General features: G+C 38.5%; 1 long non-coding RNA gene and 1 pseudogene across 5 annotated transcripts in view; one reads left to right on the top strand and one right to left on the bottom strand.

Moving 5' to 3' along the window:
* The window catches only part of TTC14-DT (TTC14 divergent transcript), a 121,249-nt gene that overhangs the window by 3,716 nt on the left and 90,157 nt on the right, over positions 1–27,376 (top strand). For 2 of the 5 annotated variants that reach the window (NR_183700.1, NR_183704.1), the window contains exon 2: positions 13,741–14,050. This is a non-coding gene — a long non-coding RNA (TTC14 divergent transcript). Of the gene's footprint in view, positions 1–13,720; positions 14,051–14,834; positions 14,899–27,376 lie in introns of all 5 variants that reach the window. The other 3 variants (NR_183701.1, NR_183703.1, NR_183702.1) reach the window with 2 other exon arrangements.
* Positions 17,235–17,341, bottom strand: RNU6-486P (RNA, U6 small nuclear 486, pseudogene; annotated as a pseudogene).

Here is a 27,376-nt window from a genome sequence, read left to right as displayed (position 1 = left end):
GGCTTGGACAAATGTGTAATGACATATTCACCATTATAGTGTATTACAAAGTAGTTTCACCACCCTAAAAATCCTCTGTGCTCTGTCTATTCTTTTTCTCCTTGGAACCCCTGACAACCACTGATTTTTTTACTGTGTCCGTATTTTTGCCTTTTCCAGAATGTTATGTATCTGAGATCATATAGTATATAGCATTTTCAGACTGGCTTCTTAGTAATATGCATTTTGGTTTCCTCCATGTCTTTTCATGGCTTGATAGCTTGTTTATCTTTAGTGCTGAATAGTATTCAATTTGCTGGATTTATAAAACAATTTATCCATTATCCTATTGAAGGATATACTGGTTTCTTCCAAGTTTTGGCAATTATGAACAAAGCTGCTATAAACATACATGTGCATATTGTTGGTGGACATAAGTTTTCAACTCTTTTGCATAGGAGTGCAAATGCTGGGTTGTGTGGTAAGAGTATGTTTAGTTTTGTGAAAAAGCACCAAACTGTCTTTCAAAGTGGCTGTACCATTTTACATTCCCATCAGCAATTAATGAGAGTTCCTGTTGCTCCACATCATCACTGGTGTTTGATGTCAGGGTGCTGAAATTTGGCCATTCTAATAGATGTGCAGTGGTATCTCATTGTTATTTCCATTTGCATTCTCTTGATGATATATGATGTGGAGCATCTTTTTATATGCTTATTTGCCATCTGTATATCTTCTTTGGTGTGGTGTCTGTTAAGGTCTTTGGCCCATTTTTTAATTTATATATTTATTAAAATATTTTAATATATTTGCAAATATTTTGTCTTGGCCTGTGGATTATATTCTCCCAGTGGTATCTTTTGCAGAGTAGAAATTTTTAATTTTAATGAAATCCAGCTTATCAGTTTTTTTTTTCTTTTATGGATTATGACTTTGGTATTGTATCTAAAAAGTCATCACCAAACCCAAAGTCATCTAGATTTTCTTCTATGTTATTTTCTAAGAGTTTTATAGTTTTGCATTTTACATGTAGATCTATAATCCATTTTGAGTTAATTTTGTGAAGGATGTAAGACCTGTGTATAGATTCATTTTTTTGCATATGGATGTCCAGTTGTTCCAGCACTACTGGCTGAAAAGAGTATCTTTTTTCTCCATTGTAGTGCCTTTTTACTTTTGTTAAAGATCAGTTGACGGTACTTATGTATTATGTTGGTCTATTTCTGGGCTCTTTATTCTGTTCCATTGATCTACTTGTCTATTCTTTTGCCAATACCATACTGTCTTAATTACTATAGCTTTATAGTAAGTCTTGAAGTCAGGTAGTTCCAGTTCTCCAACTTCGTTCTTCTCCAATTACTGTCTTTATTTTCCTGAAAATAGTCCCTTTTTGTTGCTTAAGCCAGATGGAGGAAATCTGTAGTTTGGAACCAAAGGTTTTGACTAATACACTAAGAAGCCACCAACTAGTAGCCTCTGCTTTTTCTACTCTGCCATTTTAAAAACGAAGAAACAAATATGGAGAGGTTAATACATGCTTTTGTTTTTCAAAAACTAACTTTAGAATACATGTCGTCTAACTGTGTATCTAGTACTCTTTCTACCATTACCATGCCATTTAGAGGGTCAGTGAAACCATGCTCTTTAAGGATGTAGCTTTAAAATATATGTATGGAATTTATTTTATTAAAAAAAATTATGACATAGGTCAGGTATCCCTTATCTGAACTGGTTGGGACCAGAGTGTTTTGAATTTGAGATTTTAGAATAATTGCATATATATAATGAGATACCTTGGGGACTCAAGTCTAAACAAAAAATTCATTTATGTTTTGTATGCACCTTATACCCACAACTTGAAGGTAATTTTATTTTACCCTTGGGACGCTGAGTAAACATGGTGCCACGTTCCTACATTTTGACTGGGTTCTACCACATGAGGTCAGGTGTGAAATTTTCCATTTGTGGCTTCATGTGAGTGCTCAAAAAGTTTCCAACTTTGGAGAATTTTGGATTTTGGATTTTTGGAGTAGGGATGCTCAACCTGTAGTTAATTTTATGTGTCATCTTCACTGGATCAGGGGATGTCCAGATAGTTGGTTAAAGACTATTTTTGGGTGTGTCTGTGAGAGTGTTTCCAGATGACATTAGCATTTGAATTGGTGGGCTCAGTAAAGTAGATTGCCATCCGCAATGTAGTTGGTCATCATCAAATCCACTGAGGGGCCAGGATCTGTGGCTCATGCCTGTAATCCTAGCACTTCGGGAGGGCCGGGAGGGCGGATTGCTTGAGCCCAGGAGTTTGAGACCAGCACTGGCAACATGGCAAAACCCTGTCTCCACCAAAAATACAAAAATTAGCCAGGTGTGGTGTCACATGCCTGTAGTTCCAGCTACCCAGGAGGCTGAGGTGGGAGGATCGTCTGAGCCTGGGAGGTTGAGGCTGCAGTGAGCCTTTCCCAGCCTGGGCGACAGAGTGAGACCCTGTCTCAAAAAATATATATATATCAATTCAGGGCCTGAATAGAATAAAAGGCAAAAGTAGGGAAAATGTGCCCCTTTTTGGCCCCACTGTTTGAGCTGGGACATCTCATTTCATCTTCTTTTGCCCTCAGAGTAGGATTTATATCATTGGCTCTCCTTGGCCTTTGGACTCAGACTACATTATGCCAGCAGCCTTCCTGGGTCTCCAGCTTGCAGATGGCTGATCCCAAGACTTCTCAGCCTCCATAATCCTCTATAACTGTATGAGCTAAGTCTTCATCGTGTGTGTGTGTGTGTGTGTATGTATGTATGTATGTATGTGTATGTGTATCTCCTGTTATCTGTTTCTCTGGTGAACTCTGACTAATACAAATGTCCGTTATTATGTTATTATCTAAAGATCGCCTTGAACTCTTTTTTTTCCCATAATGGGGCCCCTTGATTTCATTCCTAAGCACATGGTGTAAAAGGTTTAGATTACAAATTTGCTACCATATAAGGTAGCCATCTGTGTTTAACACTCTATTCAAAGCTGTCCTGAAGTGACTCAAGGAAGAGTGAGGAATACTAAATGGAAAATATGGCAAACTCAGCCAAATGTCTATCCCTGTTGTTAGAGGAATAATTCAAACTGCAAGCCCTTCTGATAAGAGTTGGCACATCTTCATTCATTCCCATGGTTTTTGTTTGAAAAGATTCTCCCAGCTTCTATTTCTTTTTCATATCACAGACCAACACCTTTCTTCAAGAAAAAAAACATTGTCAGTCTAATCCACTTGAGGGTGCTGTAAGATCATCATGGTATCCAGTTTTATGTCCTTCACCAGAAAACCTGCTAACTAAACAAGGATTTAGGGATGGGGAACTGTGACCCTATTATATACAGTCATTTTGGGATAATTTTATGTCTAACACTGTCTCCACCTTTTAGTGACTGATAAATGTTTTGAGGATATTATTTTAATTTAAATCAGTTCATATCTCATTAGAATTGATTAACTTAGTAATCTTGAGTTATTTTTTTCTAAGAAGAAAGATTACTGATTTCAGTTTCAATTCAGCATGGTTCTAAACAGACCCAGAGGTGAATATTGCACAACTCCAGGACAAGAGGCCAGAGTAGTGATACACTATAATCCATCTTCAGGGTATGTGGTATTCCTGGAGATGTGCAACTTTTGATCAGTTGTAGTGACCATCTGCAGTGCTAGTCTCAGCTAGCATTTCTTTCATGTTTGTCTTTGTTTACAAAAAGGATGAGGAAATAGAATGAAGATATTTCAGATTAAATCTATCATGATTGTTAGAAAAAAAGTCAAAAGATGTGTGTAATACTGATATGGAATAGGTTAAGGTGTTTGTCATCAGGTTCTTGGTCATGACTGCTCATAAAGACACACACACATACACACACACACACCTCTTAGATTCTCAGATTCTTGTTTTGCAGCAATTTCTCAGAATGCTATATGGGAGAACATGTCAGGATTATCATCAAAAGAATTGAAAGTTTAATGCTCAATAAATAGTATTTGTCAGTACATTCTGGATTGCTTCGATTTTTTAAATGCAATTTAGACATTCCTTTAAAATGAAAGCAATTGGTCATCTTCTAATTTTTAAACACATTCTTTTTTGTTTTATTGACAGCAGCACTAAAGGAGAATTTTGGGGAGTAGAAATATATTAGTGGCTTAGTATATTGCCCTTCTTAATGGAATTCATTGGAAGATCCAGTATGTCAGGGAAATGATTTAACCTTGATCTGGACCACATTAGACATAGCCTTTGATTATCTGTAGACATAATGGTCAAGTTGCCAAATGCATTAATTTATTCATTTAATAAATATTTGAGGCTTAGGCTGTATTTTAGGTGTTAGGAATATAATAGTGAAAAAAATACACCAACCTCCCTGCCTCTATGGAGTTTATATTCTGGAGGGAGACATATGATGAGTAACAAATATAATAAATAAGTAAATGATATAGTGCATGTATTAGAAGGTGATAGATCCTATACAGAAAGAAGTAAGTCAGGGTAAGGGGCATTGGAAGTACAGGGGGGTGGGTGTGGTAGTTTTTTTAATTATTTATTTATTTATTTATTTATTTATTTATTTAATTTTTTTTTTTGAGACGGAGTCTTTCTCCAGGCTGGAGTGCAGTGGGTCAATCTCGGCTCACTGCAAGCTCCGCCTCCTGGGTTCGCGCCATTCTCCTGCCTCAGCCTCCCAAGTAGCTAGGACTACAGGCACCCCGCCACCATGCCCAGCTAATTTTTTGTATTTTTAGTAGAGACGGGTTTCACCGTGTTAGCCAGGATGGTCTCAATCTCTTGATCTCATGATCCGCCCTCCTTGGCCTCCCAAAGTGCTGGGATTACAGGCGTGAGCCGCCGCGCCTGGCCTGGGTGTGGTAGTTTTAAATAGTTACAGCAGATCTCATTAAGAGGGTGACATTTGAGCAAAGATTTGAAGTAGATGAGGAGTTAGTCATTCAACCTGTTTGAGGGAAAAGAGTTCCAGGCAGAGGGAACAACCAATGCAAGGGTCCTGAGACAGGAAGGTATTTGATGTATTTGAGAAATAGCAAGGAAGGCGGTGTGGCAGGAACAGAGTGAGCATGGAGGATGGACGTATGGGGCTTTGTAGGCCATTGCAAGAACTTGGCTTTTACTGTTAGTGGTTGGGAGTAGCTTCAGGGTTTTAAGGAGGAGGGCACATTATGACTTTCATTATAAAAGTATCACTTTGGCTGTTATCTAGGTAGGAATTGATTAAATACCTATTGCTCACAATAAAAGGGAGAAAGTTTTGTAGGATGTCTTCTTATTTCTTAGCAAACATAATTTCATTTTAAAATTTACCTATCATTGCATAGAATAAGAATATGAAGTTTCAATAGCTGCAAGAAGATTAAGAGTGTAGGGCCGGGCGCTGTGGCTCACGCCTGTAATCCCAGCACTTTGGGAGGCCGAAGCAGGCGGATCACCTGAGGTCAGGAGTTTGAGACCAGACTGACCAACATGAAGAAACCCCATCTCTACTAAAAATATAAAATTAGCCAGGCGTGGTGGCGCATGTCTGTAATCCCAGCCACTTGGGAGGCTGAGGCAGGAGAATCGCTTGAACCCAGGAGGCAGAGATTGCGATGAGTTGAGATCGCGCCGTTGCACTCCAGCCTGGGCAACCAGAGCGAGACTCTGTCTCAAAAAAAAAAAAAAAAAAAAAAAAAAAAAAGAATGTGCGCAATTATGAAATAGGGAGTTATCATAGTGGAAAGAGCTTAGCCCAGAAGTCCCAGCTGTATTTTGAGTAAATAATCTAATCTTCCATGCCTCTCTTGCCACCTTTAAAACTAAGGGATTGGATGAGATGAACTTTGAGATCTAACCCTTAACATTCATTGTTCTATGATGAACAGTTCAGGTGCTAAAACTGCATGTCTCTCTTTAAGTCAGTGTGCTTCTTTTTCTATGAAATCTGTATGAAGTTATTTTCCTATTGTATTGCAGTACTGGTAAGTGTGGCTTCCTACTGTGGCTGGTCTCTTTAAATGAATGAGATTCTTTACAGTTCCTTTAGTTGTAGTTAGAAAAGGGACCAGCCACAGAAGTCACAGGGGGAGATTGGCTGATCACTGTTTGGAAGTCTCAGTGTGGCAGTTCCATCAGGTAGATTGAGTTCTGGACACTGATCCTTAGTTTTTCAAGTGCAGAAATTCAAGTAAGGCTCGACATACTGATACACACTAACCAAATTAAACACTGATTTAGAAATCAAGTTGACAATGTATTAAGGGTGAACTGTAAGCTTGACATACTGATACACACTAACCAAATTAAACACTGATTTAGAAATCACGTTGACAATGTATTAAGGGTGAACTGTAAGCTCGACATACTGATACACACTAACCAACTTAAACACTGATTTAGAAATCACGTTGACAGTGTATTAAGGGTGAAGTGTAAGCTCGACATACTGATACACACCAACCAAATTAAACACTGATTTAGAAATCACGTTGACAATGTATTAAGGGTGAACTGTAAGCTCGACATACTGATACACACTAACCAAATTAAACACTGATTTAGAAATCACGTTGACAATGTATTAAGGGTGAACTGTAAGCTCGACATACTGATACACACTAACCAAATTAAACACTGATTTAGAAATCACGCTGACAATGTATTAAGGGTGAACTGTAAGCTCGACATACTGATACACACTAACCAAATTAAACACTGATTTAGAAATCACGTTGACAATGTATTAAGGATGAACTGTAAATGTTATGTGAATCAGAAACTCGTAGAAGTATCAATATATTCTCCGGTGGAAAGCCAACTTCAGTCAGAAGCTTGTTTGTGAGCCCAAAATAAGAACAAAAACAGCCTGTTGGGTATTTTTTAATGACTAATTTCATCAAACTATGTAATCTTATGCATTCATTTCCTCTGCATGTGTATTTCTTCTAAGACATAAAAAACTCTGCTTACCTGTCATCCTTTTCTTTCTCCCTTTAATCTCTCTTTCTTTATACACACACACACACACACACACACACACACACACACATACACACGTATATAATATATAAAATATACATGTATGCATATGTAAATATGTAACTGAATAATAGCAAATATATTGAGAATATGACTGCTGCTATGTGTGTATATGTTTGAAAACTGCTTTCAATTTTGTTTTAACTTTCTTAAGATGGAAGCCCAATATATAAAATAGACAGGAAGATACTGAGAACTCAACCAAGTAATATATTTTCCTTTTTGTTTCCAGCCCCCTCTCCCTCATACACAGCAAATGATGGCTGGAGAGGTTACCTTTAAGTCAGCAATCCCTAACCTTTTTGGCACCAGGGACCGATTTTATGGAAGACAATTTTTCCATGGACTGGGGCAGTGGGGATGGTTTTGGGATGATTCAAGTGCATTACATTTATTGTGCTCTTTTTTCTATTACTATTACATTGTAATATACAGTGAAATAATTATACAACTCACCATAATGTGGAATCAGTAGGAGCCCTGAGCTTATTTTCCTGCAGCTAGATGGTCCCCTCTGGGGATGATGGGAGACAGTGACAGATTATCAGGCATTAGATTCTCATAAGGAGCATGCAACCTAGATCCCTTGCCTGTGCAGTTCACAGTAGGGTATTCACTCCTATAAGAATCTGATGCCGGCTGGCTTGGTAAGCGGGGGTACCCGCGGGCCTCCCCAGACCACTGCGTCCTCCGTAGCCCACGTAGCCTTGGCACCGCGTGCTGTGGGGGTCCTAGGCCCTCCGCTGCAGGGCCGGGGCACCGGTGAGGCCGAGGGGCAGGAAGTCACCGCCCAGCCTGGCAGTGTGAACGTGCAAGTCGATCCCCTAACCCAGAAAGCCCCAGGTGTGGTCTGTACGGGCGGCCCTGCTCCTGTTTTATTTTTTCGGGACAGGGTCTCGCTCTGCCACCCGGGCTGGAGTGCAGTGGTGTAATCACAGCTCACTGCAGCCTCGACCTCCCGGGCTGAAGTGATCCTCCCCCCTCAGCCTCCTGAGTAACTGGGACCACAGGTGCACCTGGCTGATTTTTAATTTTTTTTGTATTTTTTTTGGTAGAGATGGGGGGTGTCTTGCTATGTTGGCCAGGCTGGTCTCAAACTCCCGGCCTCAAGCGATTGTCCTGTATCAGCCTCCTGAAGTGCTGGGATGACAGGCATGAGCCACTGCGCCTGGCCTCTTTTGAATGGGCCTCCTTGCGTTTCTGTTTCAATGCCTGGTGCTACTTTTTTGGGAGCCCCAAGGCTGTACTGTTTGACTCCTTTTTTCCCCCTTTCTTTTTAACCTAAATTAAAGCTGCCACTGAAGAGCCCCACCATGGAAGACACGCCGTTGGTGATATCAAAACAGAAGACAGAGGTGGTGTGTGGGGTCCCCACCCAGGTGGTGTGCACGGCCTTCAGCAGTCACATCCTGGTGGTGGTGACCCAGTGGGGAAAATTGGTATCTGTGACTAGGAATAGTCTCTCTGTGGTAGTCCATGCTTATGGGACAAATATCTGCATACTTCTTGTATTATGGTTCTTCAGGGAAACAGAACCAATACGATGGGTATATGTATATTTAGAAGGAAATTTATTTTAAGGAATTGGCTCGTGATTTAGGAGGCTGACAAATCAAAACATACAGAGTAGGTTGGCAAGCTGGAGACCAAGGAAAAGCTAATGCTGCAGTTTAAGTCTGAAGGCTATCTGCTGGTAGATGGCCCTCTTTCTTGGTGGAGGTCAATCTTTTGTTCTATTCAGGTCTTCAGCTAGCTGGATGAGGCCTTACCCAGATGATGGAGGGCAATGTGCTTTACTCAAAGTTCATCAATTTAATTGTTAATCTCACCCCCTAAACACCCTCACAGAACATTTAGAATAATGTGTGACTACATATCTGGGCACCGTGGCCCAGCCAAGTTGACATATAATTAACCATTGCAATTATGTCCTACTTCAATGCCATATTTTAAGACAATGAAGCCTATTTAAAGCATTACAACCCCATGATGGTGAAGCAGCTGGAAATCACATGATTTGAGGAACAGCTGAAGTAACTAGGAATGTATAGAAATACTGCCTTGTTTAATCTACTGGGTTTCACACTTAATACACAGCCAATATCTGAGTTGCATCATCATTTCTTACATCAGAGTTATAATATGAATGGTAGAGATTTCATAGTCTTTTGGTGTAAAATTGCTTTAAGTTCATTTAAAGGCCTTTATCAACAAAATTTCTAAGCTTATAATGCTTTTTTATTTTTCCACTTTCAAGTTCTAGAACTTAAAGATATTCCTTATCCTCCATGGTGGTTTCTGAAAAATAATTTATGTGTTGAGCACTGAGTAAAAAATTTGGGGTCATGCGATGACTGATTTTGCATGGGTCATTGACTCCAGGTGACTTCCTTTTCTGAGCTATCGAAGATCATTCCTAATTGTGGCAGCCTAGATTTTTGCTGTTACCCATTTCATGTCTATTTCTGTGGCCACATTTCACTTCTAACAAACAAAAGAAACACCGTTATGTTAGGAAAGTTGTTTGGCTATGTTTTTATTATTTTTTTCCTGAGACTTTTTATTAGCCAATAATCCAGAATTTATTGTATCCATTTTCATTGGAATCGTAGTGACAAGCATCAATATGAGAATTGTAACTCAGAAATTCACCTAACGTTTATTTGACTATCTCCTTGTTCCAAATAGCTGTAGGTGCTGGGAATTCAGTAATGAACAAATCATAGAAAAATCCCAGTTGAAAAAAGATAGTGTGAGTGGTTATTGCTGATGTTTTGCTTTCATCCTGAGAAATGTTCCTTAATTCTAAACCTATGGACTTGGATATGAAAGGAAAAGTATTCTGTTTTTTATAGCTTCCATCAGCTCCACAGAATAAAATATCTAGTACCCTTTTATGATTTAAAGATGTAGGGAAGAAAAAAATTCACAATAAAATAGTATAATTTCACAATAATAAATATCATCACCTTGACTATATCTGTATAATTAAAATATTTCTAAGCCATTGCCATTACCTTTTATTTCAGGCTGAATTAAAGATAACTCATTTTCTAAATTGCATAACAAAGTAGTCTCTGTAGGACCCTTGGAGCTAGTGTTGTGCAAACTGTATCAGTGAAATTTCTGTACCATTTACTAGGATATTTGTTTTACGGAATAGTCTTGGTTTACATAAACTCTTTTCCCAGCGTTCATGGAAGCAAGAGAGTTGAACTGGGATACAGATTTTCTTATGATAGATTATATTAAAAATGATTAAACAAAAATATGTTTTATATAGATAATACTAAGTGGATTGACAGCATATTGCTGCTGAGATTTTTCTTGGAAGTCTGTCTTTTACAAAACTGTTTGTCTTTTTCAAACATTGATGCCTTATCTGTTCTGAGAACTCATATGTGATATTTTTGGCATACTTGTCCATTTAGGTTGTATGCAGCTTTCAGTTTTCCTAAAACTCTATCATAGGTGTTCATTTCAGTTTCTCTAAGATCCATGCAAGACTCATGTTCACTTGGGGCATATGACATGCTTCCTCTCTAAGGCTAGCCCTACCATGTCACATCTTAGGTCTTGGAGGGAGGGATGAAAATTCTTTTAGATCTTCCTCACTTTAGCATCCATTTACTCTTTTCCACACACTATGTTTTATTTTCCCAGAGACCATGAAGTGATCAAATACCAGCTCCCTAAGGAACTCTTTTCAGTTTAATTAGAAAAGAACAGTATTTAGTTCCTTTTTTTTTCTTCTGGAAGTCATTTCTAGCTCCTGTACCCATCTTCTTCCTCTGTTCCAGTAAGTTATCTTTTGTCCTGTATTGCCAATCAGTCTTCCAGCCCTATCTTACCACGTCACATACCTGGATTAAAGTCATTGCAGTAGTAATAAAATTTGACAAATCTGGTTTGCAGACGCATGGCAACTGGGGATAAGGTATGGTGGCATGACTTAGGAATTATTGATTTTTTTTCCTGGTCTGCGTGATTAAATGGTGATCCTTTTCTCAGTTGGGCACTTACCATAGAAGGGTAACTATTGTTTTAGGGACTGTCAATAATAGTATACATGAAGAAAATCAAAAGCCTTGACTCCTGATTGCAACTATGACTGAGTAACTGGTACAAGACTAACCCTTCCGCCATTAACAAATCCCCTGCCACAGAAAGGAAACAAAATTATATGAAACAACTGCTTTCAGATATCGGACAACAGGTCATGAAGGGTTTCACTGTCTGAGCGAAAAAAAAAATAAACTAGATAACTGTTATTATTGTCGAGTTTTCTGGTTAGAGGCACTTATTGGGCAAAGGTGCAGAGAGGTGAAACCCAGACAGAGCATAGCAGCCTTGCTGAGATGATGAGACAGATATTAGAGTTTGGAGAGGCACAAACAGCTGAAATTTATGGGTAGAAGACCAAAGAGGAGAGAACCAAGCAGGGAAAGAACTCCAGAAATCTGCATAGGTTCCTTTTGAGTATTTGCTTACTAATCTGCACAAATATAGGGTGAGACTCCACAAGACCAAAGAACAATGACCAGGGAAAGAGCAACTACTGGGAAGCTATAAGCTGAACAAGTATCAGAATTTCACAGGGCTGAACAAGTAGGGTGGAAAGACCCTGTGGAACACTCAGGCAATTCATTAGAGATCCCCAAAAGGCCATACCCCTTTTTGGTTTTAGTCCTAAGAAGAAGGGCTAAAACTAGCCTTATAGTAAAATCTCTTCTAGACCCTTCTTAACAAAGTTGAAAAGGAAGTTTCAAAATAGACAATGCAATTCAACATATCCAATATATATATAGATATCAAAAGTTACTAGACATGCAAAAAAACCCATGAAAATGTGATCCCTAACCAGGTTTAAAAAATCCATTAATAGAAACAGTTCTACAAACAGGCAAAATTAATGGACTTGGACTTTTAAAGAGCTATTATAATATGTATAAAAATTAAGGCTGGGTGCGGTGGCTCACGCTTGTAATTCCAGCACTTTGGGAGTTCGAGGTTGGCGGATCTTGAAGTCAAGAGATTGAGACCATCCTGGCCAACATGGTGAAACCCCATCTCTACTAAAAATACAAAAATTTAGCTGGGTGTGGTGGCGTGCGCCTGTAGTCCCAGCTACTCAGGAGGCTGAGGCAGGAGAATCGCTTGAACCTAGGAGGAGGAGGGTGCAGTGAGCCGAGATCACGCCACTGCACTCCAGCCTGGCAACAGAGCAAGAATCTGTCTTAAAAAAAAAAAAAAAAAGTAGGAATGGAGATGGAAGAAAGGAAAAATAACTTAGGCATTGTTTTTTTCTCTCGGTTTCTGCCTTGGAATAAATTCTGGTGCAAGTACAAGGAAGGAAGACAGTAGAGGTAAATTTCTTCTCCCCGTCTTCCTCTGATGGGTCTAGTCTCTGTGTCTTACACCTTCTCTCTGGAGCTCTAGTAGGCTTGCCGAGGTTTACCATGCTGTGGCGACTTGAAAGAAATGAATCAGAAAATGCATAAGGGATGCTTTAGAACAATGAATACCTGCTGACAACCCTGGGATACTGTGGAGTCCAAGAGGTATGGAAAAAAGCAGTGAATGTTTCTCTGTGTCCACAAGAAAGAAAGGGCACAGAATATAGGTGAGAAAGGGGAACTCAACAGACTTGGAGGAGACCTATTCGTTTCCTCAGCCAGGATGAGGAAACCCCTAGGGAAGACGTGGGAAGATCAGAAGAAAATGCTGCCACATCTCAGTAGATTATCAAAACAGTGGGGAGACATGATCTCCAAAGATACCAGCTCCTAAGAACGAGACCAGTTAAAATTCAAAGTACACAACCTCTATCAGGATGGCATGGTGGCATTTAGTTAAGGCTCCCATCCCAGCAACAACTAGGGAAGAGAAAGAGGGCAAAAAGAAGGCAATCTTAAATAGTGCTAAGTGCACTATTTATTTTGGTACATCTCAGTTTGTTTCATTTTGGTACATCTCAGTTTGTTTCTTGTTAAACAGGCTGAAATAAAATGATATCCTGCTCCCCAATTGCTTTTCTAAACATGTAGCTTTAGATTCATTAGTGAATAAGTTTAGAAATGTACTTATTTCTGTAGAGAAGTATGAAACCAGCCAACGAATTCGTGTGAAGCTAATGCACTTTGTGTAGGAAAGCAATTTACAAAGTAATATGTAGCTATCTTATTGAAAGGAAAGGTAAAAAAAGCATCATAGACAGCTAAAAAGAAATGATCTTCTGTATCATTTTAAAGATGTGATGATTAAATACTTGCATACTTCACTTTGTCTTATCTGCACATACACAGCTGCAATAAAAATCTCCATCTACCCTATCAGTGTGATCTGAGAGAACGGAATACTATGTCTACTTGGTTAAAGCTTTTCTTCTCTAAACATCAGGACGATTTAAGGAAAATACACATCTAAGCTCAGTTCTAATAGTTCCTTGCCACTCACTTGGAAAAATTCACTGTGGGTTGCAAGTTCATGTAGTAGTATACCTGGTTAAAATACAGCAGCTCTACCATTGTTACCTCATCATACTATAATTTCTTTGGGACGTGAACTTAAATTTATACAAGATTTTATTATAAAATGCTATCTAATTTAGGGATACTTAAATTTTTTTGGTTTTTTTGTTGTTGTTGGTTTTTGTTTTTGTTTTTTTTTTTTTTGACAGAGTCTTGCTCTGTTGCCCAGGCTTGAGTGCAGTGGCACGATCTTGGCTCACTGCAACCTCCACCTCCCGAGTTCAAGCGATTCTCCTGCCTCACCCTCCTGAGTAGCTGGGACTACAGGCCTGCGCCACCACACCTGGCTAACTTCTGAATATCAAGCTGAAATTACTATCAGATATCTTGCCACCACATAGAGGCTTTGAGTGAAGTCTGCATGGAGGAGAACAGAGCTGAGAGATGGAAAGATACTGAATCCCAGTGACGTCCTTTGAGATGTCGGATCAAGCTGAGCTGGGCATGAAGATAGAGCTACTCCTATACTTTTAAGATACGTAAGTTAATGAATTCCCTTGTTTGCTTGGATTAGCTTGATTATATTTTCTGTTACCTGCAGCAAGAGTCCTACTACCTTGAGTATTTCACACTTGCTCTCCAGATTCACTCTCTATTTTTTTTTCCAACCTTCTCTGTGCCTGGGGACTTACCTGTAAGGATTGTATCAAACAACACATTTGCCCTCTGGCTTCTGATTGTGTTCAGCCAGTGGCAATCTCCCTAGAGAGGGAGGTCAGAACATATATACTCTAGGGGCTCTCCCTGCTAGATCACAAAAGGTTGAATGGTTCTTCTTTTAAAGGCTATTGATCCTGTCAAGTTCCCTTTCCTCTCCAGGTTTGAGTAGCCATCTTCTCCCTGTACACATCAGATCCAGGGGTGTTATACCTTCTCACAATTGCAAGCTCTGGAATAAAACATTATCCCTAACAGGTTTCCCTTAGCCCTTCCCATATTTCTGTAAATAGCGCCTCTATTAAATTCTTCTCAATTATACAGTTTGAGTGAGCCGTCTCTTTCTGCCAGGAGCCAGAGTGATACATACTCCTTTCATTTTGGTATTCAAAATAAGTGGAAAATGCAGTAATTTTAAAAGACAAAATCAGATTAGCCATTTGAACAATTTGTTGCTTGATAGTGAATGCCCAATTTAGTATCATGATAAGATTTTAGAATTTTTGCAATACATGGAATTTTAGGAAGTCGGTGGTGAAGGGAACTGAAGGCTGTTGGCATCTACATGAGTGGGGACTTACTCTAAGATTTTGGATTATTTTCTAGTCTACCACTCACAGAAACTACCTTTTAGTGCAACCACGGTGGAACCCTGCCATAGTATCTCTAGGTAAGCATCACTATGCTCTTATAAATTTATATTTTCACTTCTCCAGGTCTTAAAAAGAGGACTGCTTGAATTTTTTGTGAATAAATGAATAAAGGAAATAATTTTAAGATGCACACTGAAATCTACACTCAGTGAATTTACATCTCATGATTTATAAGAACGAACTTTCCTTAGGTCTTTATATAGTTCAGAAGGACACAGCAACAAGTATGCTAATTTCAAATTTTTTCACTGAAGCAAGTTCTGAAGAAGTCAACTAGGTATCATGTAATTACTCTGTATATTTTAGGTGTTAAGATTAATTTAAGATGATTTATCACTCTAACTTTTTACCATGTTAGGCTTTTCTTCAATTAGTCTGAATTCATGAGCCCTGATGAGCTTTTTTAGTGATACAATATTTAAAAGATTAACTACATTGAACATATGTAATGGATTAATAGCAGTGTCTATTCAATATTAGCTTGAGGCTGTGGAGTATATTAAATCGTCAACATGAAGCAAAATGTTATTTCTGCTTTGAATGGAGAATACTAAATTAGTCAAGACACTTTCTCATCTCATCTGCCTTTCCCTGGCTCTTCACTTATAGTAGCAGTATTTTATATTGGACAACAGTTCAAACTAGTAATAAATATATGATTGCCATATTCTTCTGAACCACAATATCTACTAATGTTGCTAATCAAACAAAATATTTGGATTGCCCCAACCTAAGAAAAAAAAATTTAAGCCATAAAGTTGATAGGCGTATCCTGTCATATGTGTAGCATACTTCCTTTCAATCCATTTCAACAGCAAGCTTAAAAAATACGTGCCAGTCTTCAGGGAAATATAATAGATAAAATAGATAAGAATATTAATGTTATAATTAACATTACATAAGAGTTCTGTAATAGGAATTAGGGATTCAGTTTATGAAAGTCAAAAGGTGGTGATAAGTAGCATATTTTCACCTTCCAAATAAAGGAAAAGCTCAAACTTGACAAATACAAACATGGTAGGGTTTTTTTTTCTTCTCAGTCATAAGTCAGTGAATAGATAGATAGATAGATAATTCCTATAGTGTAGAATTCTGCCAGGCACCTTTGTTGATTCAAAAGTACAAAGAAATATGATTCCTGCTCTTAAGGACAGTGTAATCTAATCTAAGAGAAATGAACTATTAACACAAGCCCTCTAGTAATCCAGCCCTCTGAAATGTTATGGCTTCTTATACTGCCTTGTGTTAATAGTTCACCTCTCTTAAATTAGATTACACTTGATGAACCAATATTGACACATTATTATTAGCAAAAGTCTGTGGCTTGCATTAGGATTCACTTTTACAAAGTCTTGAGTTTTGAGAAATGTATATCATGTGTTCACCATTACAGTATCATACAAAATAGTTTTATCACCCCCCAAATCTCCTATGTTCCACCATCCCTCCATTCCTCCCCTAAGCCTGGAAACCACTAATCTTTTTCCTGTCCTCATAGTTTTACCTTTCCCAGGATGTCATATAGTTGGAATCAAATAGTATGTAGCTTTTTTAGACTGCCTTTCACTTAGCAATATACAGTTAAGTTTCCCCCATGTCTTTTGTGGCTTGATATCTTATTTATCTTTTTAAAAATCACTGAATAATAGTATATTGTATGATGTACCACAGTATGTTTATCCATTCACTTATTGAAGGATATCTTGGTTGCATCCAGAAACCACAGTGCTGAGTGATTAATGCTGTAAGAAAGATATGCAGGGTGTTAAAATGAAGAATGAGTTTGGCATTTAGAGGAGGCTTCATGGAGGAGGTGACACAAGCTGAGTCTTGAGGGATTAGTAGGAATAGAAAGGTATACTGGGGCAGGGGTCAGGGGAACAGGGAACTACAGGTAGAGGAGAAAGAAGACAGAGATGTGAGACAGCATGGCACATGTAAGGCACTGCAGAATCCCAATATGGCTGTGTCATCATGCAGGCTGGGGCTGGGCTAGAGGAAGCATAAGAGACTATCCTAGAAGGACTTTGTATACTAAAGAGTTTAGATTTATTCTGGATAAATGGAGAGCTGTGGAAGGATTTTAAAGGGAAGAGTGATTTAAAAAGACAATAACGTGGCTAATAGAAAATTTTAAATTACATATGTGTTCACGTTATATTTCTATTGGCCAGTTTCTATTTGGATATCCTGTCATCAGTCTGAAAATTCCATGTCTAAAATGAAATGTATTATTTTGCTCTCAAAACCAGTTCTTCTCTTTTCTATTTCTGCTGGTGGTGTCATAACCCATCTTCCCATTCCCTCATTACCCTAAAATCTGGCTCTACTAAAACATACCAATAGCCTCCTAATGAATATGGAACACTTCATGAATTTGCATGTCGTCCTTGCACAGAGACCATGCTAATCTCCTCTGTATCATTCAAATTTAAGTGTATGTGCTGATGAAGCAAGCACCTAATGTTTTTGTGATCCTCATTTTCATTGGTCTTTTTTTCCTACTGCTTCATGCAACTGAATCTCTACTTTCTTGATTATCTTCCTCCTTTGACTTCTGTAACTCTGAGCTACTACAGTTCCTATCCAATTTCTCTGATTACCTTATCCCTCCCTCTTTCTTTCACTGGCTTCTCTTCTTCTTCATACCTTAAAGATCTAGCCACATGCTCTGCTTTGTCTCCCTTCCCTCCTCTTCAGCTATTTCATCTATTGTAATGACATAACCATTACATAAATGAAAATGATCACATTACCATCTCCAGCCTCAACCCTTCTTTTTAGCTGCAGTATTGCATCTGCAGTTTTCTGCCAGATGTTTCTATTCGGACATCCTGTCATCAGTTTGAAAATTCTATATCTAAAATGAAATGCATCATCTTGCTCTCAAAACCAGTTTTTTTCTTTTCTGTCTCTGCTGGTGGTATCATGATTCTCTTTATCACCCAGCTTGAAATCTCTGATTTAAGTTGAACTCTTTCCTTTCTCCCTAGCCTCTCCCATTCCTCCAGTCATGAAAACCTAAAGACTCTTCCCTCCCAATGTCCCTGTATCCATTCCCTTTCTCTGGTCCCATGGATAGGTGTCCTCACATGCTACACAGTCAGCTGCTGCTTTCTGAACCCAGAGTATCTGGGAGTATGACATGGATATGAAACACAAGGTATGGGGTGGGGAGTGAGAATGGCAGTTCCTTAGATAAATGCTCCAAAGTGATTTATTCACAGTACATTTTGAAGTTGCTGACAGAACACAAATGAAACTAGTGATTAAAAAAAGAGCTGTTCTTATATAGTCATGGTCAGAGATGAAATTCTTTATTTGGAGGTAAAGAGTTAAATGTAGACATATAGGCAGGAAAAAAAAAACCAGCATGAAAGCACACTATGTACATTAGAAGAGTTGAAGAGAAATGAGCCTTATCATGCAAACCACATTGACTTTGAAACATATTGCAGTCATACTGTTCTGAAATTCTTATTGTAGGATACATATTGAGATTGTCAGAAAGGCTGTGTGAACACTGGGGCTTTTGCAGCACTGACAATATTTTTACCTATTTTGTTGCTTTGGCTTTTGAGCTCTCTTCCCTCCTTTCTTCCTTCCTTCCTTCCTTCCTTTCTTTCTTTCTCTCTCTTTCTGTCTTTCTCTCTCTTATTTTTTTTTAATGGAAAAGTGGTTCCTGAAGAGACAAAAGCCACTCCATGCGTTCTTTAATTGTTTGACACCTTTCATATGATATGGCCACAAGACACTCTATAATTCTCAAAGATATGAGACAGAAAACTGCAAAGAAGCAAAGTGTAAGGGTCTTTGGGTAGCCCTAGGTAGAAGTTACTTAGGCAATTCAAATGAAATAAAAACACTATATAATACAAAGTTCTATTTGAGTTTGGGCAGGCTGGTCAGAGATGACAATGCGAAGAGACTGTGTGCCTTTTTTTGTTCCTACTATGACACACTAGAGACGCATGACACAGTACGCGGGTCCTTCAAGTTCTCCAAAAACACTTAAGATAGATTGTTACTTTTAGTGTATCTCCCAATAAAAACTTTTGCTTCTTTGTTGTGTAAGTCTGTGACATCATTCTGATGTAATTTATCTTAGTTAAAGAATCAGTGAGTACAAAGCTGGGCTTGAGCAAGGATGTGTTATTTTTATTTTGATGTACCCAGTGTCATGTTTCTGCCCTTCAATCAGACTCCCATTACTCTTATGGTTTTTCATCTTTTCATGCATTTTTAAAGAGAAATATTCCTTATACTTGTATCATTCACTTATGTTTTAGTTTACTGACTCTCAAACTTTAGTGTGCATAAGTGTAACTGGAGGAGCTAATTTAAAATGCAGGTTACAAGTCCCTAGTTCTACAGATGCCAATTAAGTAGGCCTGGGATAGGATTTTTACTAGATTCTCTGTAGTTATTGTGATGCAGTATGCTGCAAGATCATACTGTGAACAACACAGGTATAGTGAATTTGAGAAAATTTCTTCTCATTCCTAAGTTATTGTGTGCATATTATTTCCTGTTTTTCATTTTGGAACACAAGTTTTATGTCCCTGCACATGGAATTTCAGATGACAAATGGTGTGGGAAATATTTAGGAACAAAGTAGAAGCCTACTTGGTATGTGAAGGTGATGCCAATTTGTCGAGACCAGCTCGATCAGGGAGACCCTAACCCAGTGGCACTAGAGGAATTAAAGACACACACACAGAAATATAGAGGTGTGAAGTGGGAAATCAGGGGTCTCACAGCCTTCAGAGCTGAGAGCCCCCAACAGAGATTTACCCATGTATTTATTAACAGCAAGCCAGTCATTAGCATTGTTTCTTTTTTTTTTTTATTATACTTTAAGTTTGAGGGTACATGTGCACAATGTGCAGGTTAGTTACATATGTATACATGTGCCATGCTGGTCAAAGAAATTTACAAGCATTGTTTCTATAGATATTCTGCTAACTAAAAGTATCCCTTATGGGAAATGGGATTAACTAGAAGTATCCCTTATGGGAAACAAAGAGATAGGCCGAAATAAAGGAATAGGTTGGGCTAGTTAACTGCAGCAGGAGCATGTTCTTAAGGCACAGATCGCTCATGCTATTGTTTGTGGCTCAAGAATGCCTTTAAGTGGTTTTCGGCCCTGGGCAGGCCAGGTGTTCCTTGCCGTCATTCCAGTAAACCCACAACCTTCCAGCGTGGGCGTTATGGCCATCAAGAACATGTCACAGTGCTGCACAGATTTTATGGCCAGTTTTGGGGCCAGTTTATGGCCAGATTTTGGGGGCTTGTTCCCAACACCAATTTAAAGAAAAGTTTAAAGTATTAAAATGGTGTTGAAATCCATTTCCTAGATGGCTTACTTATTGTTTTTATTAAATACCTGAAGTAGAAATTATTTATATAACCAATCAGTGAAACAGCGAGGCTAGGATGAGCCAAGTGAAGAGATGGGCAGGATCCCACGTTTACTTGCTCATTCATTTTTCCATTATTTTTGAGGAAAAAAAGTATTACTGACATTGATCAAGAAAGGCCCCCTTTTTATTGTGTTAAAATGTGCATAACAAAATTTACCATTTTAACCATTTTAAGTGTACAGTTTACGGCCTTAAGTATATTGACATGGCTGTGCAACCATCATTTGCAGAACTTTTTCATCTCCTCCAACTGAAACCCTAGACCCATTAAACACTAACTCCCCATTCCTCCCTTTTCCCAGCCCCTGGCAACCACCAGTCTACTTTCTGTCTCAATGAATTTGACAACGTTAGGTACCTCATATAAATGAAATCATACAGTATTTGTCCTTTTGTTGCTGACTTATTTTCACTTCACAAAATATCTTCAAGGTTCATCTAGGTTGTGTGTGTTGGAATTTCCTTCTTTTTTAAGGCTAATAATATATCGTATGTATGCACAATATTTTGTTTATCCATCTATTGATGGACACTTGGGTTGCATCCATCTTTCACTATTGTGAATAATGCTGCTGTGAACATTGATGTGTACTATTCGAGTGAGAAAGCCCCTTTTCTAATTTAGAAAAAAAAAAACCCTAAAAGGTCATTTCTATGCTTTTTAGATACACAAAATTTCTACATCCTCAGCCACCTACTCATAAAGTAGGTATAATGCTACCGCTTGCTTGCAGAACACACAAACCCCTAGGTGGTAGGTCTGCTGTGTTATTATTTATTTATCTGTTCTGACACAAATAACATACTTGCTCAACAGATGGTGAAGTCTGCAAGTAAAATACCATTTGAAAATTGGAGTTTAGGTTTGCCAACCAGTGACCTGGAACCAATCCATATGCAATAGTACCACAGCATATATAATATAGACATATAAGAGAAAAATAAAAATACAGCAGAGATCATTAAACCTACAGCAGACTTGTTTTTAGCTCAGTTCTTTCTGCTCTTGCAAGAAAGAAAGGAAGGAAGTTTCATCAATGATGCAAAAGCAAAATGATTGAGTATTAGGGGAATCTGCTTTCAAAAAAAGAGGTAAGTATAGGCAGAAAGAAGACAAAAAGAGCCAGAGCCTTTGCTAGAACGTTGGGTTGAACAGAGAGGCCTAGCTAGGTATGAGAGAATGTCGCTTTGGGGTGTCTCCCATGGAGGTTTTCCTGACTCCCCCATTTCTGTTAGTGTACTTACAAGACCCTATGAATAGCTCCTATAACACTTCTCTCCTTAGTTTGAAAGGAAATGAAGCACTGTCCTAGTCTTCCTGGAGTTTATACTCTTGATTATGGGGAGGTGGAGAAGTGGAGAAGTGAAACAGCTCAGTAAAAGCAAACAACCAAGAAATAAGATATATGAGAGACAGAGACAATGTTGCTTTAGAGAAAAGGGGAATTGATATAGACTGATACATTTGGAAGGCAACTCAGGAAGAAGTTGGATGGGGGAGGGCTTGATCTGGAATTGAAAAAACAGATAGGCTCTGGATCAGTGGAGAGGCGGAAAGCTTCTCTGAGAGATGTTATGTTGTAGAAGCTAGGCTAAAGACAGAAGGCAAGACTTGAGCAGGCTTTTTTTGTGTGTGTGTGGGGGGTGGGTGTGTGGGGGATGGAAGGGACATACTAGAATGTTCTTCCTCTAAAATAAGGAAAATACAAAAACAGTTTTAATTCAAGCAGCACTTCCTTTTCCAAACACTTGCACACTTATAACACACACACACACACACACACACACACACACAAGCTTCCTTTCCTTAAGTTTTTTCTTGCGATAACTAGACATCACAGCTTGACAAGATTATCTCTTTTCGAAGAGTTGTTACAGACTCAGGAACAATTTTAGCCACCTCTTTGAACTTTGCAAATTGGGCCAACCTATGCAAAACTTGCAGATTAAATTCTGAATACATATCAGAGTAGCAGATTGGGGTTTGGCAGAACTGGGTCATTAGATTCATTGATAACTTGGTGCAGAAGTTGCTAAAAGCCTAAAGAACATAAAGGGTTTCAGGAATCTTTATGCCTGGTGAACTTGTTGGTAGTTTTGCAGTTTTCCTCTTATCTCCAAATCAGCAATTCTAAAGAGCAGCTTGCCTAATGTGCACAATAAGTAGTCACTAAAGAGCAATTACAACAAATAACCATTGAACATTCAATGAACAGGGAGGTTAATACATTTCCCTGAAGTAATTAACATTCCCTTTCCTTGTTTTGTTTAAATTTTGTTTTTACCTAAATTACCTTAATGCTGCCCTTAGTGAAACAGTTTAAAATTAGAGTTGCTGGAATTGGATCTTTCTTGATTAAGTGATAGAAATACTGAGGTTAATTAGATCAAATCTGTATCTGGAGCTGTTGAGTACAGATCAGTGGTCCTGACGTTTTCCACGGAAGCCTTTCTCCTATCTCACAGTAGGCCCAGATTTTAAGACACGAAGATCTGCACCATTACCCCTGCAGCTCCTGTTTGTACATGCATGTCTGTAAAAACAAAACACACAGAGACCTAATGATTTGGAAGTATTATCTTGGGACTCCTGTCTTCTCACATTTTGCTTTGGAAACAGCTAGCACAAGTTCTATCACCTTAAGTGGAGCTGAGGTGAGGCTTAGCAGAAGTGTTCCAAATGTGTAGCCTTGTGGTAAAGAAGAAACAATTTATAAAAACCAAACGTCCATGGACCCCTGAATCAAAGGGTTTCAACTAAGTGAGATATGCCTCTGTCATTAACATTTCTTGCAAATACAATGCTGTCAAACTTTTGCCTATTTTCCAGTGGAATAAGAAGTTGGAGGTAACAATAAAGATCTCTGTTAACTGCTACTACTCCTCCCACATCCCAGGAGTAAATTTTATATGGCTGTTTTAACAATGGAAATATGAATAACTCAGAAACACATTTCGTACTTTTCTTAAAGACCAGTGCAGAATTATAGACCCCAAATACTACTGGTACAAACATTCATCATTATAAACAATAGGGTAATCAAGTAATCACCAATAAACTGGATTGATCATGTTGAACCTAAGTGAAAACTTTTTTTTTATTTTTAAATTATTTTTGTTTGTTTTTGAGAGAGAGTCTTGCTCTGTGCCCCAGGCTGGAGTGCAGTGGTGTGATCTTGGCTCACTGCAACCTCCACCTCTCGGGCTCAAGTGATTCTCCTGCCTCAGCCTCCCAAGTAGCTGAGACTAGAGGCGCCTGCCACCACGCCCGGCTAATTTTGTATTTTTAGTAGAGCCAGGGTTTCACCATGTTGGCCAGGCCATTCTTGAACTCCTGACCTCAAATGATCCACCCACCTCGGCCTCCCAAAGTGCTGGGATTACCGGCGTGAGCCACAGTGCCTGGCCGTGAAAACTTCTATATAATAACTTCTATATAATTAAAAAGTAAGAATTGCAGCAGTTAACACCAGAAGCAATTCATTCACTCATTCTTTTTGCCCACAAGTATGGACATGTATATGTATATATATGCACATAGACATATATATATATATTTGCATAATGTACAAGACATACTATGGGCTGGGTTCATGTTGGTGAAAAAAAAGACATGGTTACTGACCTTATGAAGTGTAGAGTCTACTGAGAGCAACAGACTTTAAACAATTTAATTAATTACAACTATGGTAAGTGATGTGGAATAAAAGTATAGTATGTTATGGTTATGATGGTATATAATGTCTGTGAAGTAATTTAGGGAATATAACATGTAATCTTTGTATTGTTAAAGCTAAACAGGTTCAGAGGTGGAGAAAAATTCTAGCATTAAGTTGGTTTTAGTTTTTATAGCCAAATTTAAGTAATGCTTAATAAACCATTTAGTTTTATTAAGCATTATTAGATTACTAATAAGTAGTTTATAGTACATAAAAATAAGTATATAGCACTTGTCTCATTTATTCAATCCTTCACCACCAAAGAAAGAACTCACAATTTTGAATCAGATCCTACCACAGGGAACCTTGCAGCTCTCAGGAAGCCAAAGATTATAGTTTAAGAGTTGTCACCTTAGACCAGGGAGAGCAAGTTGTGGCCCGTGGACTGTTATTTTATGGCTTGTGAGATAAGAATAATTCTTACGTTTTAAAACTTCAAAAAATAAATAAAAAGAAAGCTTTTTTGTGACATGTGAAACTTATATGAAATTCAAATTTCAGTGTCCATAAGTAAAAGTTTATTGTAACCCAGCCATACCCATTTGTGCTACAATAGCAGAGCTTTGTAGTTGCTACAAAGATCTTATGATGTGCAGAGCCTTAAATATTTACTATCTGGCCCTTTACAGAAAAAGTTGACTGACCCCTGGCCTGGATTATAACACTTTAAAAGACTCCCTTTTTGCAACACTACCAGTCCCCAACTTTAAAAGCTTTCTGTATTAGAGTTTTCCAGAGAAACAGAACCAATAGGGTGTGTGTGTGTGTGTGTGTGTGTGTGTGTGTGTGTGTGTGTGTGTGTGTATAGAGAGAGGTTTATTTTAAGGAATTGGCTCACATGATTGTGGGGGCTGGCAAGTCCAAAGTCTGCAGGGCAGATTGGCAAGATGGAGACACCCAGGGAAGAGGTGATGTTTCAACTCAACTCCAAAGGCAATAGGGAGGCCGAGTTCCCTCTTCCTTGTGAGATATGAGTCTTCTTTTCCTCTTGAGGCCTTTAAATGATTGGATGAGGTACACTCACATTATGGAGGGTAATCTGCTTGACTCATTTAAATGTTAATCTTGTCTAAAAAAATACCTTCGCAGCAACATCTAGAGTGGTGTTTCACCAAATCTGGGTACCATGGCCTAAGCAAGTTAACAGATAAAATTAACCGTCACATTTTCTTAACAGATCTTAGACATATGATCCCCATAGTATTAAGCAAAACTCTTATTTATAAGTGTCTAATGATTGGGATGGATGAAGACGGTGAACCCAATAATAATCAATTGGTGTGGGGCACAATTAATTAAGGGTTTTTTTTTAGACATGGTATGCTAATTCCTAAAAGGGAAAACTTAACTGCATATACAATTAATCAGTTGCAGCAAACAATATGGTTCTGAACCAAGCAGAGATTTTAGCAGAGGCGTTAACTCAGTGATCTGAATTTCCTTAGAGTTTTTTCCTGGGCAATTAGAAGACAAGAAGAAAATGAACTTTCCTCCTGGCTTCAGGAGGTGTAACCTCAGACTTTGTCCATCTAGCAGAAGTAGGGACTTGCTGCCTTCCTGTAGATGCTCCCAGACCTCTGGTTACCGGCCATATGAGCCTGGGGGTTTGGTGTGGGGAGGAAATCTACTTGAGCTCCCATACTTTCTCTGAGGGTTGACCTCTAAGGGGAGCTTCCATCCTTTCTGACTAGAGGCCTCTTAGAGAATTCCTTTGGTTTTACCACGCAATGGGCCATTGTCTCAGTTAATCCGCTTTCTCCTGTGAGCCTTAATTATAACACTACAATTTGTCACTTGAAGTTTTATACCACAGAAGAAGCAGTAGTCAAACTAGCCTCAGAGCCCATCCTCTACGATTCCCTTTTCAGCTTTTCTCTTGGCAGCCCCACTTCTCTCTCTACTGTTCATCTCCTCTGAGCCGTTTTCCAAGGGAGTGCTGCAAAGTGAGATTGCCTTTATGTCTGTGGATATCTCGACCCAAGAATAGATGCCAGCTCTTTCTATTCCTCTTTCGGTTTCAAGCCTGTGCCGCTCATAGGCCCAGTCCTACACTCAAAACCTCCAGATTTAACATTTATTTTATTCTGTTTCATCAGACCATCAACACACATTTCTACAAGATCAAATTTTGGTGTAGTTTAGACATTTAGCTAGCATTTATTAAGTGCCTAGGATTTTTCAGGCACTTATGTGTATTTGAATCTTGTGGCAACCAGCAGGTTAAACATTACTAAATTATTTTACCAATAAAGAAACTTAAGTTCTGTGAGGTTAAAAATATTTTTCAAAATTACCTAGCATGTAAATGGGAGGCCCAAGATAGTGAGCTCAGGCTTGTTTAATTCCAATGTCTGTGTTCTTTCTATTGTTATACGGTATCTGAGAGATCAACTTCAGCTTTTGAGTTCCTGGTTAGATAATGCCTTGTAGGACTAGCTAGCACAACTTATTGATATGCAAAGCCATTATCTATGCAACTTTGTCAGCTGTATGTTTTTTTGGTACTTAGAGTGGAATATGGCAGATGTCAGGAAGCAACAGGCATCTGCTGTAGCCAGAAATCGGCACCCACATAAACATCAGTTGCCTAAACGTTTTCTTTAATATATCCTGATATTTCCTCAGAAGTATACCATCTGCTCATGGAATAGATAACCTGAAAAAGTCTGACGCAGTTTTTCTTAAGTTATCTCTTTTCTTATAATGCATTACTTTGGTTCTTATGCATACCTAATCCAATCCTGTACAGAAGCACAAAATATCTGCCAGCTTACCCACATAAAATGGATTAAACATGAGAAGAAAAATAGGTAGAGATTAAGAGTTCAGCCTCTGCTGTTTGACAGACAGTATTTGAAACACTTAGCACAGTGATTAACCTATAGGAAAACTCAATAAATGCTAGATATTTTTATTATTATCTTTTTTTTACTTGCAGAACTTTCTCCCTTACTGTGAGTGGACTAATAATAACGAAGTCAGTTTAATTGATCTTTTATTTTGCCTTATGTAGCATGTAAATTTAAAAAACCAAACTAAGCTTTCCATTCATTCGTTTATTAAGAATTCTTGTTGTGCATCACATATTTTTTTTTCTTTCTTTCTTTCTTTTTTTTTTTGAGACGGAGTCTTGCTCTGTCACCCAGGCTGGAGTGCAGTGGCATGATCTTGGCTCGCTGCAACCTCTGCCTCCTGGGTTCAAGTGATTCTCCTGCCTCAGCCTCCTGAATAGCTGGGATTACAGGTGCATGCCACCACACCCAGCTAATTTCTTTTTGTATTTTTAATAGAGACGGGGTTTCACTATGTTGGTCAGGCTGGTCTTGAACTCCTGTCCTCGTGATCCGCCCACC

This window comes from Homo sapiens, chromosome 3 (assembly GCF_000001405.40).
Source record: "Homo sapiens chromosome 3, GRCh38.p14 Primary Assembly".
Classification (NCBI taxonomy): domain Eukaryota; kingdom Metazoa; phylum Chordata; class Mammalia; order Primates; family Hominidae; genus Homo; species Homo sapiens.
Note: the sequence above shows the minus strand (reverse complement) of the source record. Positions and strands in the feature narration are given on the sequence as shown.